Below are 21934 nucleotides of genomic sequence, written 5' to 3' on the forward strand. Positions count from 1 at the left end.
AGTTCATATTCACCAGGTTAATGCCAGCTTCCCTAACATGGGATATTAAGCAGGAAGGAACTTTGAGTATAACATTTTGTTGATTAAGAATAAAGAAATTAAGATTAAATTTTATTGGGATTCACTTCTGGAATGGTGGTGTTAGGGGCTGTGTGGACTTGTTGCTCAGTGAAACAATAACTGATAAAAATTATTTTAAGAAAACAACCAAACTTGGAAATTTGCCGTATATCCTAAGGGCATACAGCACATGAAGAAACATTTATTCAAGAAAATCTGCTAGATCTCAGTAAGAATAGCAGATGTCTGTGGCACTTGAGCCAGAACCTGCTCCTTCCTTCTCTTTTCCCATCCGCTGCCCAGCTCAGCATGAGAGAAGCTATGAAGAGTGACCAAGAAGACTGGGTTCCCTTTCCCCTAAGTTCCCATCAAGGGCTATGGTATCTCCCCAGGAGGGCAGGCTGTCAGCATCCCCCTACCTCCAGCAAGGCTGCATGTTGCAGAGGCTAAATTCCAGGAGAATGTGGCTAGCCCCTACTCATAGGGCAGAGGTTCTACCTGAGGCTGAGAATAATGGGTCCCCAGTTGCCCTTTGTCAGTCCAGCTAGTTTGTAGGGCAGAGGTTCCATCCTTGGAGAATCAAGCCAAGAAGAGCAAAGGCTACTGCTCCCATCCAGCACCCTGTTCATAAAGTGGAAGTGTCACTCCGAGAGAAGTGGGACACAGTCTGTGCGCCCAGCTCTAGAACAGTGACTCCAACATTTTCCCAAGTAGGAGAGGTAGGCTATAATAACAGAAAGCTCTGAAGCTCTCTGAAAGATACTGACTTTGTTTATAAAAGTGTAGGGAAAGTTCAAGCCTAAGGGTGTTCTAAAAAAAAAAAAATGGAGAGTTTGGTGGTAATTAATAAGAGGCCGATAAGCAATAGGCAAAAGCTTGGGCCAGAGACCAGGAAAGAGACAGTAAAGAGTGTCTGGGATCAGAACAAACCTCAAACTCTGACATCAAAAACTATCCCTGTGAAAGGTCTCCATTTAATTAGATAAAATGTAGAACAATGTATGCCCTAGGCAGTTGTCAAAAACAATAGAGCAATCAGGCAGCAATTAGTGGGGTCTAACAGCTGGGTATGAAAACACCAGAGGCAGACAGCTTAACAAAGAGATTAGGGAAGATACAGACAGCCCTGATAAAATGATTGTCATCCCAGAGAGAATGTGTGTTCACTCAAGGCTGTGCCCCCATGAGGAGCAAAATCAGAGGTTGGGTGGGGAGGGGAATATACTTCACCACAGGAGTCCAGCCAAGTCATTGAAAAAATAAGCAAACAAAAACAAGCCCTGGGATAGAGGGGCTTGTAGTATCCAGAGTTGCTACAGTGTCTTAGCTAAGATGTCATTTTCAACACAAAATTATAAGATATGCAAAGAAATAATGACAGAAAAATGGGTATGACAGAAAAAAAGCAGGCAACAGAATCTTCCTGGGAGAGGACACAGATGTTGGGCTTAACAAAGACTTTAAAACTGCTATTATATTTGTTCCACTGGTCTACGTGTCTATTTTTATACCAGTACCTTACTGGTGCCCAGAAATAAATTTATACATTTGTAGCCAACTTATTTTTGACAAAGGTGCCAAGAACAGGCAATGGGGAAAGGACAGTGTTGTCAGTGAAGAGTCAAACTCTGTAAAATATTTGAAGAGATTTATTCTGAGCCAAATATGAGTGACCAGCCCCAGGAGATCCTGAGAACATGTGCCCAAGGTGGTCAGGCTACAACTTAGTTTTATATGTTTTAAGGAGACATAAGATATCAATCAGTACATGTAAGATGTATATTAGTTTGGTCCGGGACAACTTGAAATGATGGGACTTCAGCTTATAGGTGGATTCAGAGATTTTCTGATTGACGGTTGAAAGTGTTAAGTTATTACCTGAAGACCTGGAATCATAGAAGGGATTGTTTGGGTTAAGATAAGGGGTTGTGGAGACCAGGGTTTTATCATGCAGATGCAGCTTCCAGGTAGTAGGCTTTAGAGCTCTTATACGACCTAAAATCGTGCCAGACTCTTAGTTAATTCTCTCCCGGGTCAGGAAAAAGACCTGGAAAGGGAAGGGGATTCTCTACAGAATGTAGATTTTTCCCCACAAGAGACAGCTTTGCAGGGCTACTTCATAGTATGTCAAATAAATATATTTTGGAGTAAAATATTTTGATTTCTTTCAGGGCCTGCTATCTGTCATGTGATGCTATACTGGAGTCAGGCTGGAATCTGGTGTCTTATTACTGCAGAGAGTCAGTTTTAAGATCTCTGTTTTATCAGTCTTAAGGCCTCTGTTTTAATGTTAATGCTGGTCAATTGTGCCTAAATTTCAAAGGGAGGAGGGTATAAATGAGACATGTCCAACCTCCTCTTCCCATCATAGCCTTAACTAGATATTCGGGTTTACTTTGAAATGCTCCTCTCCAAGAGGAGGGGTCCAGTTCAGTTGCTTGAGGGGCTTAGAATTACATTTTTGGCTTATAGTCTCCAATAAATGCTGTTGAGAAAATGGGATATCCACGTACAGAAGAATGAAATTAGACCCTTATTTCTTACCATATACAAAAATTAACTCAAAATCAATTAAATACTTAAATATGAGAACTGACACTATGAAACTGCTGAAGAAAACATAGGTGAGGCGCTTCAGGACATTGGTACGGGCAAGGCTTTTTGAATAAGATCTCAAAAGCACAGGCAACAAAAGCAAAAATAGAAAAATGGCATTACATTAAGCTAAAAAGCTTCTGCACAGCAAAGGAAACAACAAAGTGAAAAGACAAACTGCAGGATTGAAGAAAATATTTGCAAACTATACATTAGACAAGGGGTTAACATCAGAAACATACAAGGAACTCAAACAACTCAATTGCAGGAAACAATCCAATTTAAAAATGGGCAAAAGACCTGAATAGACATTTCCCAAAAGAAGACATGCAAATGGCCAACAGGTATAGGAAGAAATGCTCAACATCACTAATCATCAGGGAAATGCAAATTAAGGAAACAGCTGTAAAGTGAGGAAGAAGCTTGGGGCCTGGAGTTTATAATCTGGGGTTGGAGTGTCCTGGTTCTACTGCTATCTGCTTTATGACCTTGAGCTGGTTGCTTTTCCCTCTCTGACACTGGGTTTCACATGTGGCTCTGAGCACTCAGTGAAATTATCACTGGGAAGTGCTTGATGGAAGCTCTTTTCCACCCTACTCTTAGCAGGTCAGATATGGGGAGGAAAGAGAGGGAGTTAGGTTTCTCTGCTTCACTGTTGATATGGACTTGGTGCCCTGTGTCCCAGCCGCTCTAGCCGTGGCTGAAAGGGGCCAAGGTAGAGCTCAGGCTGTGGCTTCAGAGGGTGCAAGCCTCAACCTTGGCAGCTTCCACATGGTTTTGAGCCTGCCAGTGTACAGAAGTCAAGAATTGGGGTTTGGGAACCACTGCCTAGATTTCAGAGGCTGTATGGAAACTCCTGGGTGTCCAGGTAGAAGTTTGCTGCACAGGTGGGGCCCTCATGAAGAATTTCTGCTAGGGCAGTGCAGAAGGGAAATGTGGGGTGGGAGCCCCCACACAGAGTTCCTATGGGGCACCGCCTAGTGGAGCTGTGAGAAGAGGACCACTGTCCTCCAGAGCCCAGAATAGTAGCTCTACTGATGGCTTTCACTGTACACACCTGGAAAAGCCACAGACACTCAACGCTAGCCCATGAAAGGAGCCAGGAGGGGGACTATACCCTGCTGGCCATTTGCACATCTTCTTTTGGGAAATGTCTATTCAGATCTTTTGCCCATTTTTAAATTGGATTATTTGTTTTCTGCAGTTGAGTTGTTTGAGTTCCTTGTATGTTTCTGACGTTAACCCCTTGTCTAATATGTAGTTTGCAAATATTTTCTTCTGATTTTGTCTTTTCACTCTGTTGATTGTCTGCTTTGCTGTGCAGAAGCTTGGGCGCAACTGCCCAAGGCTGTGGAAGCCCACCTCTTGCATCAGCATGACCTGGATATGAGACATGGAGTCAAAGGAGATCATTTTGGAGCCTTAAGGTTTGACTGCCCTGTTGGATTTCAGACTTGCCTGGGACCGGTAGCCCCTTTATTTTGGCCAATTTCTCCCATTTGGAATGGCTGTGTTTACCCAATACCTGCACCCCCATTGTATCTAGAAAGTAACTAACTTGCTTTTGATTTTACAGGCTCATAGGCAGAAGGGACGTGCCTTGTCTCAGATAAGACTTTGGACTGTGGACTTTTGAGTTAATGCTGAAATGAGTTAAGACTTTGGGGGACTGTTGGGAAGGCATGATTGGTTTTGAAAATGTGAGGACATGAGATTTGATAGGGGCCAGGGGTGGAATGATATGGTTTGGCTCTGTGTTCCTACCCAGATCTCATGTTGAATTGTACTCCCATAATTCCCATGTGTTGTTGGGGGGACCCTGTGGGAGATAACTGAATCATGGGGGGTGGATTCTCCCATACTGTTCTCATGATAGTAAGTCTCATGAGATCTGATGGTTTGATGAAGGGAAACTCATTTCACTTGGCTCTCATTCTCTCTTGCTTTCTGCGATGTAAGATGTGCCTTTTGCCTTCTGCTATGATTGTGAGGCCTCCCCAACCACATGGAACTGAGTCCATTAAATCTCTTTTTGATTGTAAATTACCCAGTCCTGGGTATGTCTTTATCAGCAGCATGAAAACGAACTATTACAACTGTGCATCCTCTGCAAGCAGAAGCAGGCTCTTCTGGCTCTTGGCCTCTCACTGGCAACACTCACCAATTCAGGTGCTGGATTTGGGTGGTGATAAGATGGAAGATGCAGATACAATCCATAAAGCACTGTGTTAAGGACTGAATTGTGTCTCTCCTTCAGATTCATATGTTGAAGTACTAACCCCCAATGTGACCGTATTTGGAGATGGCGTCTGTAAAGAGATAATTAAGGTTAAATTAGGACATAAAAGTAGAACCCTAATCTCATAGAACTGGTGTCCTTATAAGAAGAGACCTCATGAAAGAGATGACAGAGAAAAGGCCATGTGAGGACACAGCTAGAAGGTGACTGTAAGCCAAAGAGAGTGGCCTCACCAGGAACTGAATCAGCTGGCATCTTGACCTTGGACTTCCCAGCCTCCAGGACTGTAAGAAAATAAATATCTATTGTTTAAGCCCCCTAGTCTGTGGGATTTTGTTATGGCAACCTGAGCAGACTAATCCACATGTCTAATGTGGAATCTCAATGCTCTTTTTGCCAATTCTGCCCCACTGAGGAACTAGGAAAGCAGTCCCACTCAAAATTATAAAAGCACAAGCATGAATGATGATTACAAATAAAAAAGACTGTTTTGGAGATTGTCTTCTTTCTACCCTTCTTCATATATGTTTGCTGACCAGCCTGGTGACAGAAGCCATCTGTCAGCCTGCTGTGGAGTCGGGTTGTGAGCACGGTGATACAGGGGAACAGAATCGCATGTCAGCAGTTATCCCAGAAATGCCAGGTTTGCTTCAGATTTTGATTTCCTCCCTGTTTCCTCCCCTCAAACAGTGGTGGTGGATCATCAAACAGTATTTTTAGAACTGCTTTGCAGCTTCCCTGTAGAAACCTTTCCTCACTACATGGTTTAATCCTCTCATCTAGCCTTGTTTAAGATCTGCAGAATGCTATATTTGTTTAACTTTATTTGAGATTTCAAGGCTTTTCTGAATGTTGCTCCAAGTAATCTGATGAATGCAGAACTCCAAAATTTATGCCTTAAAAGGCTTAACTACTGATATGTTTGGAGGCTTACTTATTTTCTCCCTTTATTCTAAACCACACAGGGCAGGGCAGCTAAAAAATCCCCTTGGAATTAGTGTCAGAAAGTCCCTTTTTAAAAATTAATAAACTTAAATTTTTTTAGAGCAGTTTTAGTTCACAGACAAATTGAGTGGAAAGTACAGAGAGTTCCTATATGTCTCTTATCTTCACACATAAAGTCTTTTAATTGGGCTATCGTAACTTTCAAGGACAAAAGGACAGTATTCTCCTTTATGGAGAAGTAGTAAGTTTCTTGGCTAGATTGACGGCCTTCAGTGATGGTAGGGGAGGGTGCAAGTGTCAGGCTAACTGACCAGCCTGCAGCTGGAGTGAACCTGAGCCCAGGGTCCAGCAGGGTGTACTTGTGTCCGTGGGTCTGGCGGAGCCATATAAGATGTCAGTGGCAGACTCATATCTAATTCCGGGGGAAACCTTCCCAGTGGTCACAACCTCAGGCCGTGTCATTCTCCAGAGAGAATGTGTCATTTAATCCTAACTCCTACCTTTTTAAGGTAGTTTTGCCCGTGTATCTCATTTGACCCTTAGTAAGGCCTAGTGTCATTTAACTTAGTAACTTGTGGTATACAGAGTCCTCACGCATGCTTTCTTACTTGAGATTGCAGCGAACTTCTAAGGTGGGAATATTATCCCCACTTTATGACATGGGGTGTGAGCTGAGAGCCAGAGGTTCCAACAGCCAGCAGCTGGTTGGTGTCTGTTTGATGATCCGCCACCACTGTTTGAGGGGGGAAAATAGGGAGGAAATCAAAATCCAGCTGTGGATGGAGATGGCGTGCTGTCCTCCATGCATCCTGCTCCAGGTCCATTGTCTCCCAAAGGGCATGTCTGCTGTTCCAGAGAAAAGTCATTCAGTGATACTTGTGAAAACATATGAATAAAGGAAGACTTTATCCAGGACCATCACAATAGGTATGGGGACCACAGCAACGGGCTTGCAGTGGTGGGGGGAGATTGGGCTCAACTCCCAATACAGCACGGGCAAGTGGGAATTTGTAGTCTAGGAACAGGGTAGGGGGTCAGTGGATGGGAACTTACTAAGAGGAAACATTGAGAGTAAAGTGGATTCTGGCTAAACCCACCTAACAGGATTCTTGCTAAACTGGCCAGGACAATCAGACATCACCTAGGGAATGGTGGTAGAGGAACCTAATCAGATATTGAGGAGGGGAGGTTTTTGCTAAACTGGCTCAGCAGGGTTCTTTGCTAAAACTGGATTTTACAAAGAAGTGCACAGATGGGCCTAGAAGGTTCAGGAACCTGACTCTAGTTTGGCCAAGCAGAAAATCTTTGTTACTGCCACTGGTGGAATGGCTGCAAGCCTTATATTTGAAGAGTTAAATTTGTTTTATATATACTTAAATACTTAGCTAGTTTAAAATATTCCATATAGTAAATTTAAGTTAAAAAATGTGTTTAGGCCAGGTGCGGTGGGTCAGGCCTATAATCCCAGCACTGGGATATTTTTGGGAGGCCGGGGCAGGCGGATCACTTGAGGTCAGGAGTTTGAGACCAGCCTGGCCAACATGGTGAAACCTTGTCTCTACTAAAAATACAAAAATTAGCTGGGTGTGGTGGCATGTGCCTGTAGTCCCAGCTGCTCGGGAGGCTGAGGCAGGAGAATCGCTGAGGCAGGAGAATTGCTTGAACCCGGGAGGTGGAGGTTGCAGTGAGTCGGGATTGTGCCACTGCACTCCAGCCTGGGCAACAGAACAAGACTTTGTCTCAAAAAAAAAATGTATTTAAAGAAAAACCTGTGGACCACAGTACAAGGTCATGGTAGAAGCAATGATTTCCTGAGTGTCAGTAGTTCAGGAAATACTGTAGTAGTATCCATGCTAGCTTCGGGAGGTGACAGTGGAAGTCAAAGTCCTGCCCCTTTCCAGCCTTGCTGGTTGTACACAGAATGTTGAGGTCAAGAACCCCCCCAGCCCCCCATTCTCTGAACCTTGATGCCCTCACTGAGGCAGGGAGTAATGATTTCCCTATGGTGGGGCAGGCCTTGTTTTTAGGAGCAAATGACAAAACAGAATAAACACCATTGTTACCATTTGGGGCACTCCACCAGCACAGAATCATAGACTGGGGGAGGGAGGTGAGGGCTGGGGAAAGGGACCACATCTGGCAGGGGGCACTGAAGTGCCTAGTTTGTGATTTCCCTGGAATTTGATAAATTAAAACCTGGACCAGGTCAAGAGCCCAGGGGCTCCAACTCTACATCAGTTGCGTTTCCATCACATTTATCTGCGTCTCACTAGTGGTTGAAGAACATGTCTGGCCCCTGCACTGCTGAGCTGAGCAGTGCTGTGAAGCGTTCAGCAGCATTAGTGTTAGTCTTGGCCTGTGCAGGTTTCTCTGACTGATCCTGTGGGTATCTATGACCTCAGTTATCTTCGTACATCAGTGCCCACCTGCTCCCAGGTACACTGTTCTGGAATGATGTGAATTTGTTCACACCTTCCTAGTGGGTGTGCATCTGGCCATCCAAGAGTCTGGTCCTCACGGAACCCTGGTTATGGGGCCAGATGATAGTCCTGAGGGCATTAGGTGATACCTGTGTTCTCCTGGGCTGGCTGAGTTCTCCAGATGAGAGAGAGCATTCCTTCTGCCAGAGGCCTGCCCACAGTGGCTCCACTGTCAGTGTCCTGGTTTGCATGTACAGAGGCAGGGCTTGAAGTTGGGTGGTAAGTGGGGGCTTGAGGTGGCTACATGTTGGTTTACAGTTTTTAGTTTTTCTATAGGTTTCTTCCAGTGGGAGATGGGAATACTTCTAAAAAATGAATTCCAAAGTCACATTTTCCCTGATCTCTTTATTTCCCAGCTACCAAGAGTGTTTTAAAAAATGTAAAAGCACACATAGAGATTTTAATTAGCTTTCACTGTCACTGCTCTTGGTGGTGGTAATTTTACATATGATATGTGACAGGGAGACACTTTGTGAGGGCCTTTGTTCTCAATGTATTCTCTCCCTCTCATAACTCAGATGTAAAATTTGGAGAAAGAGATAATGGTGAAAGTACCTCAACATTGTCTTATTTTCACATTGATATTCCTACTCGTTAGCATTTTCCATGGAAACAGCACCACAACCAGATTAGGAATCTTTCTGGAACAAAGGGAAAATAGTTCTTGTGACTTTTGTGAGCAGTCTCACTACTGCATTGTTTATGGGTGAGGTCACCAAGGAGACCTAGCTCAAAGGCAAAAGATGGCCCTGCTCTAAGGGTTTTATTAATAGACCTGAAATTGCTTGCCCTCTTGAATTACCCAAGTGGTTTTAGTTTCTTTTGTTGTTTTTGAGTTATTGGATTTTATTTTATATTTGCAGAATCAGTGCTTCCTTCAGAGATAGGGAGTTTGGACGGACTAGGTTTAGTTGTGCTGATGACAAATGGACCTTTAGAACCCCTGGAGACCTCCTGGGACAAACGAGTTGCCCTTTATGTGTTGGTCGTGAATGTTGCCTGTTCATGTGGTGGTGGGTGCCATCTTGACCCAGCTTTGCCAGGTCTGAGCAGGGGTCTGTCTTTGCTGGTGAGAAGGGATGCTCATTGCAATTCTTGTGGGCAGGTTCCTCCCTGGTTTGCCCCAAGTGAGAAAGAGATTTGTCTTCAAAAGCCCAGTAGGAGAGTCCAAGAGAGTACCAGGACTTTTGAGATTGGTTTGAACAATTGAGATCCTAGGGAGTTCTTCACTGCCTGCAAGCTAAAACCCAGCTCTGTGGTCTGGTGTTAAAGGATCTCCAGAATTGACCTCGTCCTGGCTCTCCAGCCCCATTCTCTGTCCTTGATACACAAGACTTTCCTGTTTCCTGAGTGAGTGCTTGTTGCTGGATGCACCTGTGCCTGTTCCTTTTGAAGTCAGATCAACTCGCACCTCATCTGGATCATCTTTTGCCAGATTTCAAGCTTCTTCCTTGCCTCTGTAGCAGCATGGGGCATGCATCTCATTTTGTCTTGGAGTTGTGTTATCTGAATGTTTTACTCCATCATTAAACTGTTGGATTCTTGCAGGCAGAGATCACTTCTGATTCACTTGTGTGTTCACTGTAAGTGCCTAGCTCAGTACTTGTTGAACAGATGAATGGACAGTTCCAGATTACAGACTCCTTTGGACACTCTCATCAGAAGGCATTTCAGGTCATCAAACCAGGCTTGCGTGACAGGATGACAGAGACTCCTTCTCCTGCAGGCAGGGCTCCTGTCTTCTGCCCTGGTCCCTTCCCTATTAGCCTGATCTTTGCTGCTGGTTGAGAAGAGGTGCCACATGAGAAGAAGGCAGATGTTGCTGTTGAGCATGAAGGTGCTGCGTGTCAGTTGGCACTTGTCCCTACATGGTTGAACTTACTCAACCACAGCTCTGGTGGGTAGCTACAGAGCACTGCCCAAGGAAGGGCATGGGCCTCAGAGGCACAGCTTATTGCACTCTTTTAAAAACTGCATTTCTTTTTGAGGTTTCATTATTCCAGCCACTGTCAGCTTTGCAATAAAGAGCTGTGGTCAGTTCACTGTGGAAGAGGCCCATGGAGGACTGCCAGTGGGGGTCCTCCCTCACCAAACACGGAACGCTGAACAACCAGCAACACAGCCGAGTAGCTGAAGCCATAGAACCCTCTCTCCAGGAAGGTCCTATATAAACATCAGGACTGCTTGCTGCCCTTTTGATTTGTTTTAATGAGAATAGGGAAGACTGAAGTCCTTTTGTGTCTCTGCTAAGTGTTCACCCCAACACTGAATGTTTCAAACAGGATTCCATTTTCACAGCTAAAATAAACAGGTTATACACCACTTTGCCAGAGATCTACATGTAGTAAAGTTGCTGAATGTGTGACCACTTTGTGTTTCCATGGGACCTAGAGGACCAAGATGTCTCTCCCTGATTTCAGTTTGTTGTTGAGGAAGCTAGAAACAGCATTGTAACGTTGGTGCTGCCACTTGGAGGCCTTGGGCAGGTCATCCCCAGTCTCCTGGCTTACTGCCTGGTTTCTAAAATAGCATTGTCTTCCCGGCATTTCATTGATCTGTGATGGTTGCTTCACATTTATAGCCCTTTATGGAATTTTGTTGCTACTCAGAAAATTTTTTATTTTCTCGTGAAGCCAATTTTGACACTTGCGAATTAGAAGGCAGGCTTTCCTAGTGCTTAGAAAAATAAACAGAGCCTGCCTGACTCCACTTGTCTGAAGCACGTTATTATTAACTTTCAACTTATTATCAGTTCTGCTCTTAACGTGGCGCTGTAGAAGGAAATGATGTGTGTGGTGTTAATCTTCAGTGCCTCTTCAGGCCCACGTGCCATCCTGCTGAAGGTGCAGGACTGGCAATGGCAAGGGGGATCTACAGCTTTGGCTGGCCTTGACATTCTGCATCATGTGATTGAGCAAGCCTGAGACCATCTTACCAGATTCACTCTAGGCTCTCTGTCTTTTCTTTGTTTTCCCAAAGCTCTGTTAGCATGGACTTTTGAAAGTTGCCTGAATATTAAAGTACTATACTAATAACTTGCTTTCTAGTAAACAAAACCAAAAGTTGGCTTAATGGTTGCTCACTGACCTGGCATAAACTAGAACACAAAGCTTCCCATTTAGAAAAGGTTCAGGCAGCCTCCTGCTGGGATCTGCCCAACCCCTCTAGGAGGTGGCATGGATGCCCACCTCTTCTTCCAAGGGTGCACTTTGCCTTTAGGTTTGGGGAAAAGTACTGGGCGAGCCTTTGGGACTGTTGTGTCTCATGAGTGGGCTGACCTTGGTGGAGGCTTGCGTTTCCCATGTGGGGCCTGACTTTTTATGTGTCCAGCCAGAGTGATGAGCTCGTTCACTTTCCCTGCAGTGCTTCCTTGTTGAACCTGAAAGAGAGGACGTGGGAGCTTTTGTAGGAGAGAGAGGACACATGCTTTATTCTTGAACTGTGAGGTGTATGTCACCAGAGAGAATTGGAGACAGCGGTGACTGTTTCTCAAAACAGCTTGCACACTCTTCCCTTACCAAATTAGGATTGAGTAAAACCTGTTGGTAATAGTAAATAGAAGGAAGTTACAAATAAAACACAGTAGTCATAAAAGCAGAGCAGAGGAGCCCTGCTCACAGAGCCAGCCGTCACCACAGACGCCTGGGCTTGAGTTGTGTCTTGCTGATTCAGCAGGAGGGTGCATTTCCCCTTCCACTTTCCTGTTGAAATATATTATTTCTGTACAATATTTATAGAATCCCTGTCTCCACCATTAGAAATACAGAATATTCTTGCTTTTTCACTTTGCTATTAGTTGATATTGTTGGCTAGGTTTTGTCTGTTTATCCTGTTCACAAATTTTTGTTTTTTAAACTTTATTTTTTAACTATTTTTGACAGAAACAATAACAATATTTCTTCGAGGGGTTTAATTTCAGCTTAATTTAAGAAAAGAAAATCAAACATGAATGATACAAAAAAGAATCTGCTCTCATCCTAAAGTTCTGCCTTTTGCTTCTCTAGGAAGCCCTGTTTCCTGACTAGAATTTAGTGTTGCTTGATGGGAAAAGCTGGAGATGGAGTCAGAGACTGAGTAACCACAGGAGATGCTTATGAAGACATGGGTGGGGACAGGGCGGGACATAATGAGGAACTCTACAACTGAAAAAGATGATGCCTTTTATTAGCATTTGGTAGTAGTCGAATTAATGTGCTCTGCACTCTCTTCTGCATATCGGAAAGAGCACTGGACTAGTAAGGCCTGCCTTTAGGTCCTACTTCTGCTGCTGCTGCTGACCTTGAGGGAGCCCCTCTACCATTGTGAGCCTGGCTCCCAGGCATCAAACTAGAATAGCTGTCTCTCCCAGCCCAGCGGTGTGGTGTGAGGACCAGGCGAGTCAAAACATGTGGGCAGCATTTGCAAGCTGTGTTGTTGTTGCTCACACTTATATTTCTTCCCCCTTGAGATTTTTTACCTACAGAGACCTCTAGACAAGGTGTTTCCTCCCATGGAGACCAGATGAGGCAGGTGAGCGGGCAGAAGGCACCTTGGCCTGAGAAGTTCTTGGTCTCCTCCTCTCTTGACCCTCTTCTGTGGATTGGAAACATTGTGAGAAACTACGTCCCTTGCTTGCATTGGCAGCAGACACTGTTGAAGTCCTGGGAGAACACGATGCTGTGAACAGACCGAGGGGAGGAATGGTGGCTGCTCCTCACAAGAGGAAGGGGTCCTGGGCACATTTGGACTTTGCCTCCTGGAGTGGCCCACAATGCGGGCACTCCCCTGTGGCAGGGAGGGGGAGTCAAGGAAAGGAACTCAGCATTTTCAGGGCTGCATTTTCACACAGCAAGCCCTAAAGCTGCGTTTGTTTCCTGAAACAATCTTGATTTCATTCAGAGGAGGAAAACGACATTTTGGAGAGTCTGCGGTCTGGGGTGCTTTGATCCTCGTTCACAGTCCAGGGAGGTGTAGCCACATCCCCCTCCTCTGCCCTGCTTGGCAACTCACTTTTTTGTGGAATGGTGGCCGCTGGCCACTGCTGTTTTGACCAAATAGCTGGGTGGACCCTGAAGGGGCCATTCTGGCCATTTCTGGCCTCAGGCTGGGTGACGGTAGAGGATGTAGTGTCAAGGTTATGCGTGACTGATCCTTTCTGTAAAACAGCCCATCCCATCCCTCACATTAAAGGAATATAAACCCGAGTTCATTTGTGTTGGGGTTTGCTTGTGTTAATTTATAGATCACTTTTTTTCTAATTGTTTAAATGTTCTAAACAAAAGAGTTTATGACTAATTATGTGTTTATGTTGTGTGTCTGATACAATGTAAAGCCATCTAGTTAACATGAGAGTTATTTGACCATTCTGTTTAAAGTTTAAGAAACACGTGCTGTAGGGAAATCTCCATTTGGTTACTGAAAGTTGTGATGGATTGAAGGGGTGGTGGTGCTCCACTGCTTTGTGGGAGCTTTCTCCCACCCAAGCTCATGGGTAGTGTTGAAGCCCCCATGCTACAACGTGACCCCCACCCCCAGCCTGGGGGGCCTGGCTCAAGCTGGAGAGAACTGGGAGAGCACCCATGCAGGCGGCCTCTGGTGGCTGGAGCTGGAGAGTTTCAAGTTGGGGGCTGTCTCAGCTCCCACCATGTGGACTGGCTCATTTGCAGAGTGGGAGGATGATGGACATGGGTAAGCAGAGGGGAAGGGCCACATTTGCTGCCAGCCTTGGAGTCAATGGGCCAGCTCAGCCATGTTCCTGCTGAGGTGTTTAGCTCAGCCCAGACTCCTGAGACAAATACGCCTTTCTGCCTAAGCTCACCCCCCTGCACAGCGTCCTGGCTGCTCTATATAGTGTCTTAGCCAGGCTAGCAGGAGTTCCCATGACTGTCCTTACCATGATGGCATCGTCACTGCATCCCCTGGGTTGAGGGGGTGGGTGGTGAGGGCATGGGGTGAATGCAAAACACTGTACGGCAAGGCAAAGGACATTGCTGTGGCTGGGATGTGGGCCGCCCACTTTGCATTCTGTCCTGAGAAGCCATGAGCAGCTGCAGCCACACCTCTCCTGAAAGGGAAGAAGGAGAGAAGCAGAGCTCGGGTTAGAGGCTGTTCTAGTGGCTGGGGCAAGTCAGGGTCCAGCTTCCAGGTGGCCAGCTCTGGGCAAGGGAAGCAGGAGCAGGCACCAGGCCAGGCCTGACAGCTTTGTGTTTGGGTGGAAGAAGAAAAGGGAAGAGAAATCACCATCTTTGGCAATGAATAAGGCACACCCAGCCTGCTTTGGGGTTTAGAGCCTCCTGCACTCCCGCCTCCACCATAGAGGAGCCAGACTGGGTTCATGCTCCACAGTCTTCCAGCTGCGTCTCCTGGAATGAACCTTTGAGTAACAACTCTGAGTGAGTGATGATACCCCCCTTATTGTGGACCCACACTCAGAGATAAGCCCAACTCACAGGTCACGGGGAAGCCCGTGTCCTTATCTCTTCAGTTCCCGGCCCTCTTGGAGCAGCATGTCTCCTTTGATGAGGGGGTTGAAATACTGGATGCTTTCCTCGGTCCTTTCATACACTTATTCAGAAATTTATGTGACACGCTGGAAGGACTTCCTGGACAACAGACGGGCAAACTTTCAGTTAATTGTGTGAGGGCTTCAAGTGGTTTCAAGTGACAATGGAGTAAGAAATGAGACTTGTCAAAGTCCTTGCCTGTTGTAGGAGAGAGAACCGCGCTGCTCCTGGTGCACGCTGACTGCAGTCCTAACCACGCAGCTCTGACAGCAGACCGCCATGTACAGTGTTCCTGTTGTCTTTGTCTGTGGTATTGTGAAATTGATGTGGTAATCAAATGACGAATGAGGCCTGGTGCGCGGGAGTGAGAGGGGTCATGTATGGGAACACTGGGTTGATTCACCTCAAGAAAAAGCCCCAGAATCCCTGGCTGCAGAACCCAGGGGTGCCGCTGCCTGGAAAGGACAGAGTAGCAAGCCAGCCCCTCACCCAAGGGAAGGCTTCAGAAGAGGCTTGGCCCCCACCATTGTGGGCCTCAGGTTGTCTACCATTCATCTTTGTTACACTTTGTGATGTAGCTCTGGACCAAGCCTCTTATCATCTTTGTATCCCTAAGGCCTGCTCCATAATAGACCCTCAACTGTTTGTTAAAGCAGGAGTCCACAGTCCCCGGGCTGCAGACCAGTACTGGCCTGTGGCCTGTTAGGAACTGGGCTGCACAGCAGGAGGCGAGTGGCAGGCATTACTGCCTGAGCTCCACTTCTTGTCAATCAGCGGTGGCATTAGATTCTCGTAGGAGCACAAACCCTGTTGTGAACTGCGTATGTGAGGGATCTGGGTTGCGTGCTCCTTATGAGAATCTAACTAATGCCTGATGATCTGAGGTGGAACAGTTTCGTCGCGAAACCACTCCCCTTGACCAGCCCCCCAAAATTGTCTTCCACAAAACCAGTCCCTGGTGTCAATAAGGTTGGGGACTGCTGTGTTAAAGAGATTGCCAGTTTACAGAGAAGAAACAGCATGAGGTGCAGAAGCAAGAAATTGGAGGTGCTGAAGAAAGAGTGGCTGAAGTGTGTGGTGTGGAAGGCAGTCGGCAGATCCCCGCCCACCCCAGGCTGCTCCTGGCACCTCCCAGACATTGCGCTTGTGATTATTGACACATCTCACTCATCTCCCAGATTGTGAGCACCTGTTTTGCTCAGCACAAACATTTTAAAGCACTTTTTTCAGGGCAACTTATTTTCAAACTGCTTCTTACAGAAAATCCCCTGAACGTTCATGGTATATGGGTGAACCACAAGGAGCTGAGCTGCAGTTGTAAACTGGGCTGTCCCAAAGAACTCCAGGAGAAGCTGGGAACCAAGAAGGACATAAAAGAAGTGAGGGAATTGCCTGCCTTGTTATCTGAGGAAGGGCAGTCCCAGAGAGGGTGGCTGATGCAAAGGCCACACCAGATAAAAGTCTAAACAGCAAAGAGGCCAGGGCAGGAGCAGGATGAAGACACTGCTAGGAGGTTCACAGGCCCCGTCATTGCAGTTGGACACAGACTGTGAGGACTGTGGGAGGGACGCTGGTCAAATTCCCAGGGTATGGGAGTTGGGGTACTAAGGGAGTTGAAGTCGTACTTGTGGGGAAGATAGAGCTAATAGAGTTGTCAATGGATTGGATGTGGGATGTGAGAGGAGGAGGAGGCCAGGATGTTATTTCTTGCCTGGAGCAAGTGGAAGGACAGAACTCCATCTACTGAGATGGGAAACCTTGAGGGGCTGGTGAGGTGAAAGAGGAAGGCTGGAACGGTCTGGGCTTGTTCTGCTCCTGGAGCATCCTCCTCTGCCCTCTTGTTTACAGGGATATCCATGTCCCTATCCAAGGTATCTCAGTCAGTTCAGGCTGCTATAACAAAATAACTGAGACTGGTAAACAGCAGAAATGTACTTCTTAGACCTGTGGATGTTGGGAAGGCGCTGGCATTTAGGGTCTGCTGAGGGCCTTCTTGCCATGTCCTCACATGACAAAAGGTGAAGGGCAAAAAGGGCCTACCTAGTTCCCTCCAGCCCTTTCATACAGCACTAATCCCACCTATGAGGCCAGAGCCCTCAGGGTCTAATCACCTCCCAAAGGCCCCGCTTCTTAATACTATCACATTGATGGCTACATTTCAACATAAGGAATTCTGGGGGACACATTCAGACTGTAGCACAGTGACTGACTCCCTCCATTGGAGTCTGGGATGTGCATTTGTATTCTGGTTCAGGCCCTGTATTATAGTAGTAAGCATATTTATTAAACTAATGAGGCATGTCAGTTAAGTAAATGAAGTTAACTCATTGCCATTGCTGCCTGTCCATCATCACTGGCAGACAGTAGGGCTTGGGAAATGGAAAGCCAGAGATAAATGAACATCTCCCAGTGAGCACAAGCTCGGGGGCCCTAAGTCAGGTCATTTGTGTCTGCAGGTGAGAAGGGATACGCATTGCCAGCATGTTACTTCTCTTCCTGTGCTTGATTCAATTTTTTTTTTTTTGAGATGGAGTCTCGCTTTGTTGCCCAGGCTGGAGTGCAGTAGTGCGATCTGGGCTCACTGCAACCTCCACCTCCCGGGTTAAAGCGATTCTTCTGCCTCAGCCTCCCAAGTAGCTGGGACTACAGGCACGTGCCACCACGCCCAGCTAATTTTTTGTATTTTTAGTAGAAAGGGGTTTCACCACGTTGGCCAAGATGGTCTCGATCTCCTGACCTTGTGATCTGCCTGCCTTGGCCTCCCAAAGTGCTGGGATTACTGGGCCCCTGTGCTTGATTTTTCTAAAGCACATTACTTTCCTGTATTTAAGCCCTAGCAGCGTTGGATGGATGTTTTGCAGCATGCTTGGGTGTTAAGTGTCCTTTGAGTCAGAGCTTTACTCACAGTGACCCTCTCCTGCCCTGTGCAGGTATAGAGAGCTGGGAGGTGGGAGGTGGGAGAGGGCTGGGCCCCAGCTCTGAGGGGAGGAGGAAGCAGACCTCTTCAGTACAAGAGGACCATGATGCTGCCCCCTCAGAACATGGATGTCTATCCTGGAGGGACAGAGCACCCACCTCACTTCCCTGGGAGTCCAGGGTCCACTCACACTCCTCTGATTGGGAGACTCTGAATTCCTTCCAACAGTAGTCGTAACTTCATTTGACAGGCGAGGAAACTGATGCACAGAGATGGGACCCTGTGGAAGGTCACATGCTTCACAGCGGTTCACCAGGTCTGATGCCATTGCCTGGGCTCCCCTCCCCCATGCCACCAAGCCATATTGCTTCAAGGAACAGGCCTGTGCTCTCATGTTCCTTTTCAATAGCAACCTTTGGGCCTAATTTTTGGTGATTATAAACTGTAGCGCAAGCAAAGTACCGTGGACCTTGGTGAAAAGTTCCGGTTGGAGGAACTGGAGAAGGTAGGAAAGTTGGGTAAAACTCACATAGACTTAGCTGTAGAGAAAGGGCTTCCAGGCTCACAGATGGCTCCAGTACAAGCGCTGTGGGGGCCAGCCTCAGGGGAGGTTAGGAAAAGCCAAGGTGAGAACCTCACATGCCAAGGTGACAACCTCACAGGGCTGACAGCCCATGTACTGAGCTCTATGCGGATGTTTTCTGTGTTTCTTCACATATGTGCTTGCTCCTCAGTGTGTCCTGGTGAGACCAGTGTTATTTCCGTTATACAGAAACTGAGGCTGAGAGAAGCTCAGCAGCTCTTTCACCTATGGGGGAGGAGGGATCTGAAGTGGGATTAGCTGAGCAAGTGGGTGGATTCCTGAGGCCCCACTCTGGGCCTCACAGGTTGATCCAAGGGTTTAGTCTGCGGAAGGGCAGGTGTTGACACCTGTCTTAATCCATTTTCTGCTACTCCAACAACATACCACAGCCTGGGTAGTTTGTAAAGAAAAGCAACTTATTTCTTACAGTCTGGAGGCTGGGAAGTCCTGGAGCATGGTGCCCGCATCTGGTGAGGGTCTTCCCATGGTGGAAGAGTGGAAGGTGGAAGCCAGCATGAGAGACAGAGAGGAAATCGGGCTAAACTCCCGATTTATCGGGAATCCACTCCCCTCACTCCTACAGAAACAGCATTAATCCATTCATGAGGACAGAGTCCTCGTGTCCTAATCACCTCTTAAGTGCCCCGCCTCCCACTACTGTTAGAATGACAATTAAGTTTTCAACACAGGAACTTTGGAGAACACGTTCAAACTGTATCAAGAGCCTTTTGTGGACCAGGGTGCTGGGGGCCTGGTGGGCTTGGAGCCAGAGCCCCGAGAGGCATGAGGAAGGCCTTCCTGAGACCCCTCCCAGGTCCCCTCCACCTTGTCCGTGTTCCTGCAGCATGTGGCCTTTCCATCCTAGTTAATACCTGGGCCTTTGAGGCAGCATTTTTTGTTTTTGTATTTTATGCTAGAGAAGCATATTTGACTTTGTTTAAAAGGTTAAGATCTTTCCTAAGCAGATGGCTTTTGTTTGAAAGAAAAAAAAATGGAAGGCCTGCTTGCTTCCACTATTCCCTTGCACCGTAGGATGGGGAAGGACACCCAGGGTTGGAGTAGTCTCCAAAGTGGGCAAATTAGAATCAAGGACCCCAACTGCTGTATCGTAGGCCCAACTCCTCCTGCATCGCCTCCCAGAATCAGTCCTTCTGCTTTTATGACCCATGCCAACCCCACAACCCCTTCCCACTTGACATCAGATGGCAGTTTTCTCCAGTGTTCAACATCCTCTTCTTCCTGGGCGGCCCCCTCAAGTTGGCCATATTTAAGGAAGAATGAGTTTTGGTGTGTTCTCATCTCATGGTCACACGCTCTTCTTCTCATACCTGTTTTATCATTTGCTTTGCATTAAAAGTTGATTCATAGCACTTAACTTTCTCATTGGTTATGTAGAGACATTCATTCACTCACTCACTCACTCACTCACTTACTCACTCATTCCAAATATAAACCAGAGGAAGTTTCTGCTGCCATTGGCTATTGCTCTGGAATACTTGGAAGCAGGCCTTCCTGGTCTTTGCTGTATGCAGCACGTACCTTGGCTGGTGACAGACCTGAGCGGATGCTTGGGAGCAGAATGTGAGCTGTTGTGGCAAGCCTGCACACAGGCCAGTGCTGCCTTGTCTTTGGAGTGGAGCCTCCAGTTTGCTGGTCACCTTGGGCTTGGCCATTCTGGAGTTACTGCTCCTGTTCTCTCTGTTGGCCTTGCCTTGTCCCTGCTGCCCCTCCCTGTCACCGCAGCCATTCTGGCTCTGGCCCATTCAGTTTATGGCATCAGTGGCTGCATTTTACTTACCCTGTGCCCATCCCCATGTTTGTGCCATGTCATAGAAAGTCCTCCTAGGTGCCCGTTGTTCTCTTATTTGCTGGGCTTCAAGAATTGGTGGCCCTGAAGCCCCCAAGGGTCCCAGGACCCCTGTTAGGTGTAGACAAGGTCTGAGTAGATCCCTGGGTAGATTCAGTTTCCATCTGGCCCTAGGGGACCCATGGAAACGGAGGCTGGTCTGGAACACTGTGGTAGAGAGTGGGTCACATTTTCTTTCTAGGTTGGATTAACAGCTCTAGTAGAGCCACTTCAGTGAACCCGTCGTCTTTACGTTAAAGTCATCTCACACCATGGAGTCTCCAGAGTGGTGAGGTCCAAGCCTAGCCTAGGGAATATTGGGAGTAGGGGAGGCTCAGGGGATGTGTTCAGGGTGTTCTGAGCCCCACCTGGAGTTAGAGAGGGGGTGTGGTATTGTGAAATATATACTTGGTCTACCTCCCTCTTTTCCTGAGGTATTCTTAGAATCTCTGGAGCGGTAAGAGTATCTTTGTATGCTAATGAGAGAATCTCTGGAGCGGTAAGAGTATATCTTTGTATGCTAATGAGATGACTGGTGGCTGGGGGCTCTTAAATTTAGGATTTGGCTGGTTGCCAGGGTAACCAATCCCATGATTAGAGGGCTGGAATTTACAGTCTTCCACCCTCCCACCTCTGGGGAGGGGAGAGAGGCTGAAGGTTGAGCTGGTAAATCAATGGCCAGTGATTTAGTTAATTATGTCTATAATGAAGCTTTCATTAAAGACCCAAAAGGAGGCCAGGTGTTATGGCTCACACCTGTAATCCCACCACTTTGGGAGGTCAAGGTGGGAGGATTGCTTGAAGTCAGGAGTTTGAGACCAGCCTGGGCAACATAGTGAGACCTCATCTCTAATTTTAAAAAATTAGTAATTATCCAGATGTGGTGGCACACACGTGTGGTCCCAGCTACTCAGGAGGCTGAGATGGGTGGATGGCTTGAGCCCAGGAGTTTGAGGCTACAATAAGCCTGATGTCATTGCACTCCAGCCTAGGAGACAGAACAAGACCCTGTCTCTAAAAGCTGGAAAAAAAAAAAAGTACAAAACCCCAAAACTCCAAAGGACTGAGTTCTGGGAGCTTTTGGATAGCTGAGCATGCAGAGGTTCCCGGAGAGTGGCACATAGGGCGGGCAGGGCAGCTCCACGCCCTTCCCACATGCCTTGCTCTGTGCACCTCTTCCAGCTGGAGGTTCATCCGCATCCTTTGCAGTATCCTTCCTGTCTGTCTGCAGGAAGGTGATATTTGTCTTTCTGAGGTTATTATTAATAGTAACTTTCAGTGCCAGTGAATGGTGTGACACCTCACTGATCTATGATTTTAGCTGTCTTGGATTTGGGGTTTCTGAGAGTAAGTCCTTTCCTCTTTCTGCCCCTCTAAAGTAGCCTCTTTCTTAGAGGCTGCTGACTCATGCTCAGCTTCATGCCAGCCTTTCATTTTACTTTCTCTCTTGTGCTGCCTGTGTTTGGAGAGCAGAGGCACAGTGAAGCTTCTCAGCCCATTTGCTGCCACAGTGACAGCAATAGGCTGTGGTGGGGTAGGACGGGGGTGGGGTAGGACGGGATCCGGTGGGTGGGGCAGGGAGAGGGGCCCCCATTGCACTTGGGCTTTTTCTTTGGGTTGATAACGATAGTTCATATTTCATCTCCATGTGACCTTGAAAAAAATCACTCTGAGCATCCGTGACCTCATCCGTGCAACTCCTTTTAAAAATTATTCTTAGAAGAACCCCAGTGAATAAGCAAAAGTGGAGCTCTGATGTGTTAATCCTCACCCCTCAACTCCAGCTC

The 21934-nt window shown here is 46.9% G+C and overlaps 1 protein-coding gene across 42 annotated transcripts in view, besides 2 other annotated features; it reads left to right on the forward strand.

Annotated features, from left to right (window-relative positions):
- INPP4A (inositol polyphosphate-4-phosphatase type I A) overlaps positions 1 to 21934 on the forward strand; it is a 149806-nt gene that overhangs the window by 49166 nt on the left and 78706 nt on the right. The gene's annotated exons all lie outside the window — the stretch shown is intronic.
- Positions 14050 to 14109: an enhancer, noted in NCBI's record as "active region_16266". NCBI's record gives its function as "activates an Ori minimal core promoter by ATAC-STARR-seq in GM12878 lymphoblastoid cells {active_cell/tissue: GM12878}" and the evidence as "EXISTENCE:reporter gene assay evidence [ECO:0000049][PMID:35858748]".
- Positions 14570 to 14629: an enhancer, noted in NCBI's record as "active region_16267". NCBI's record gives its function as "activates an Ori minimal core promoter by ATAC-STARR-seq in GM12878 lymphoblastoid cells {active_cell/tissue: GM12878}" and the evidence as "EXISTENCE:reporter gene assay evidence [ECO:0000049][PMID:35858748]".

Source organism: Homo sapiens, chromosome 2 (genome assembly GCF_000001405.40).
Source record: "Homo sapiens chromosome 2, GRCh38.p14 Primary Assembly".
NCBI lineage: Eukaryota > Metazoa > Chordata > Mammalia > Primates > Hominidae > Homo > Homo sapiens.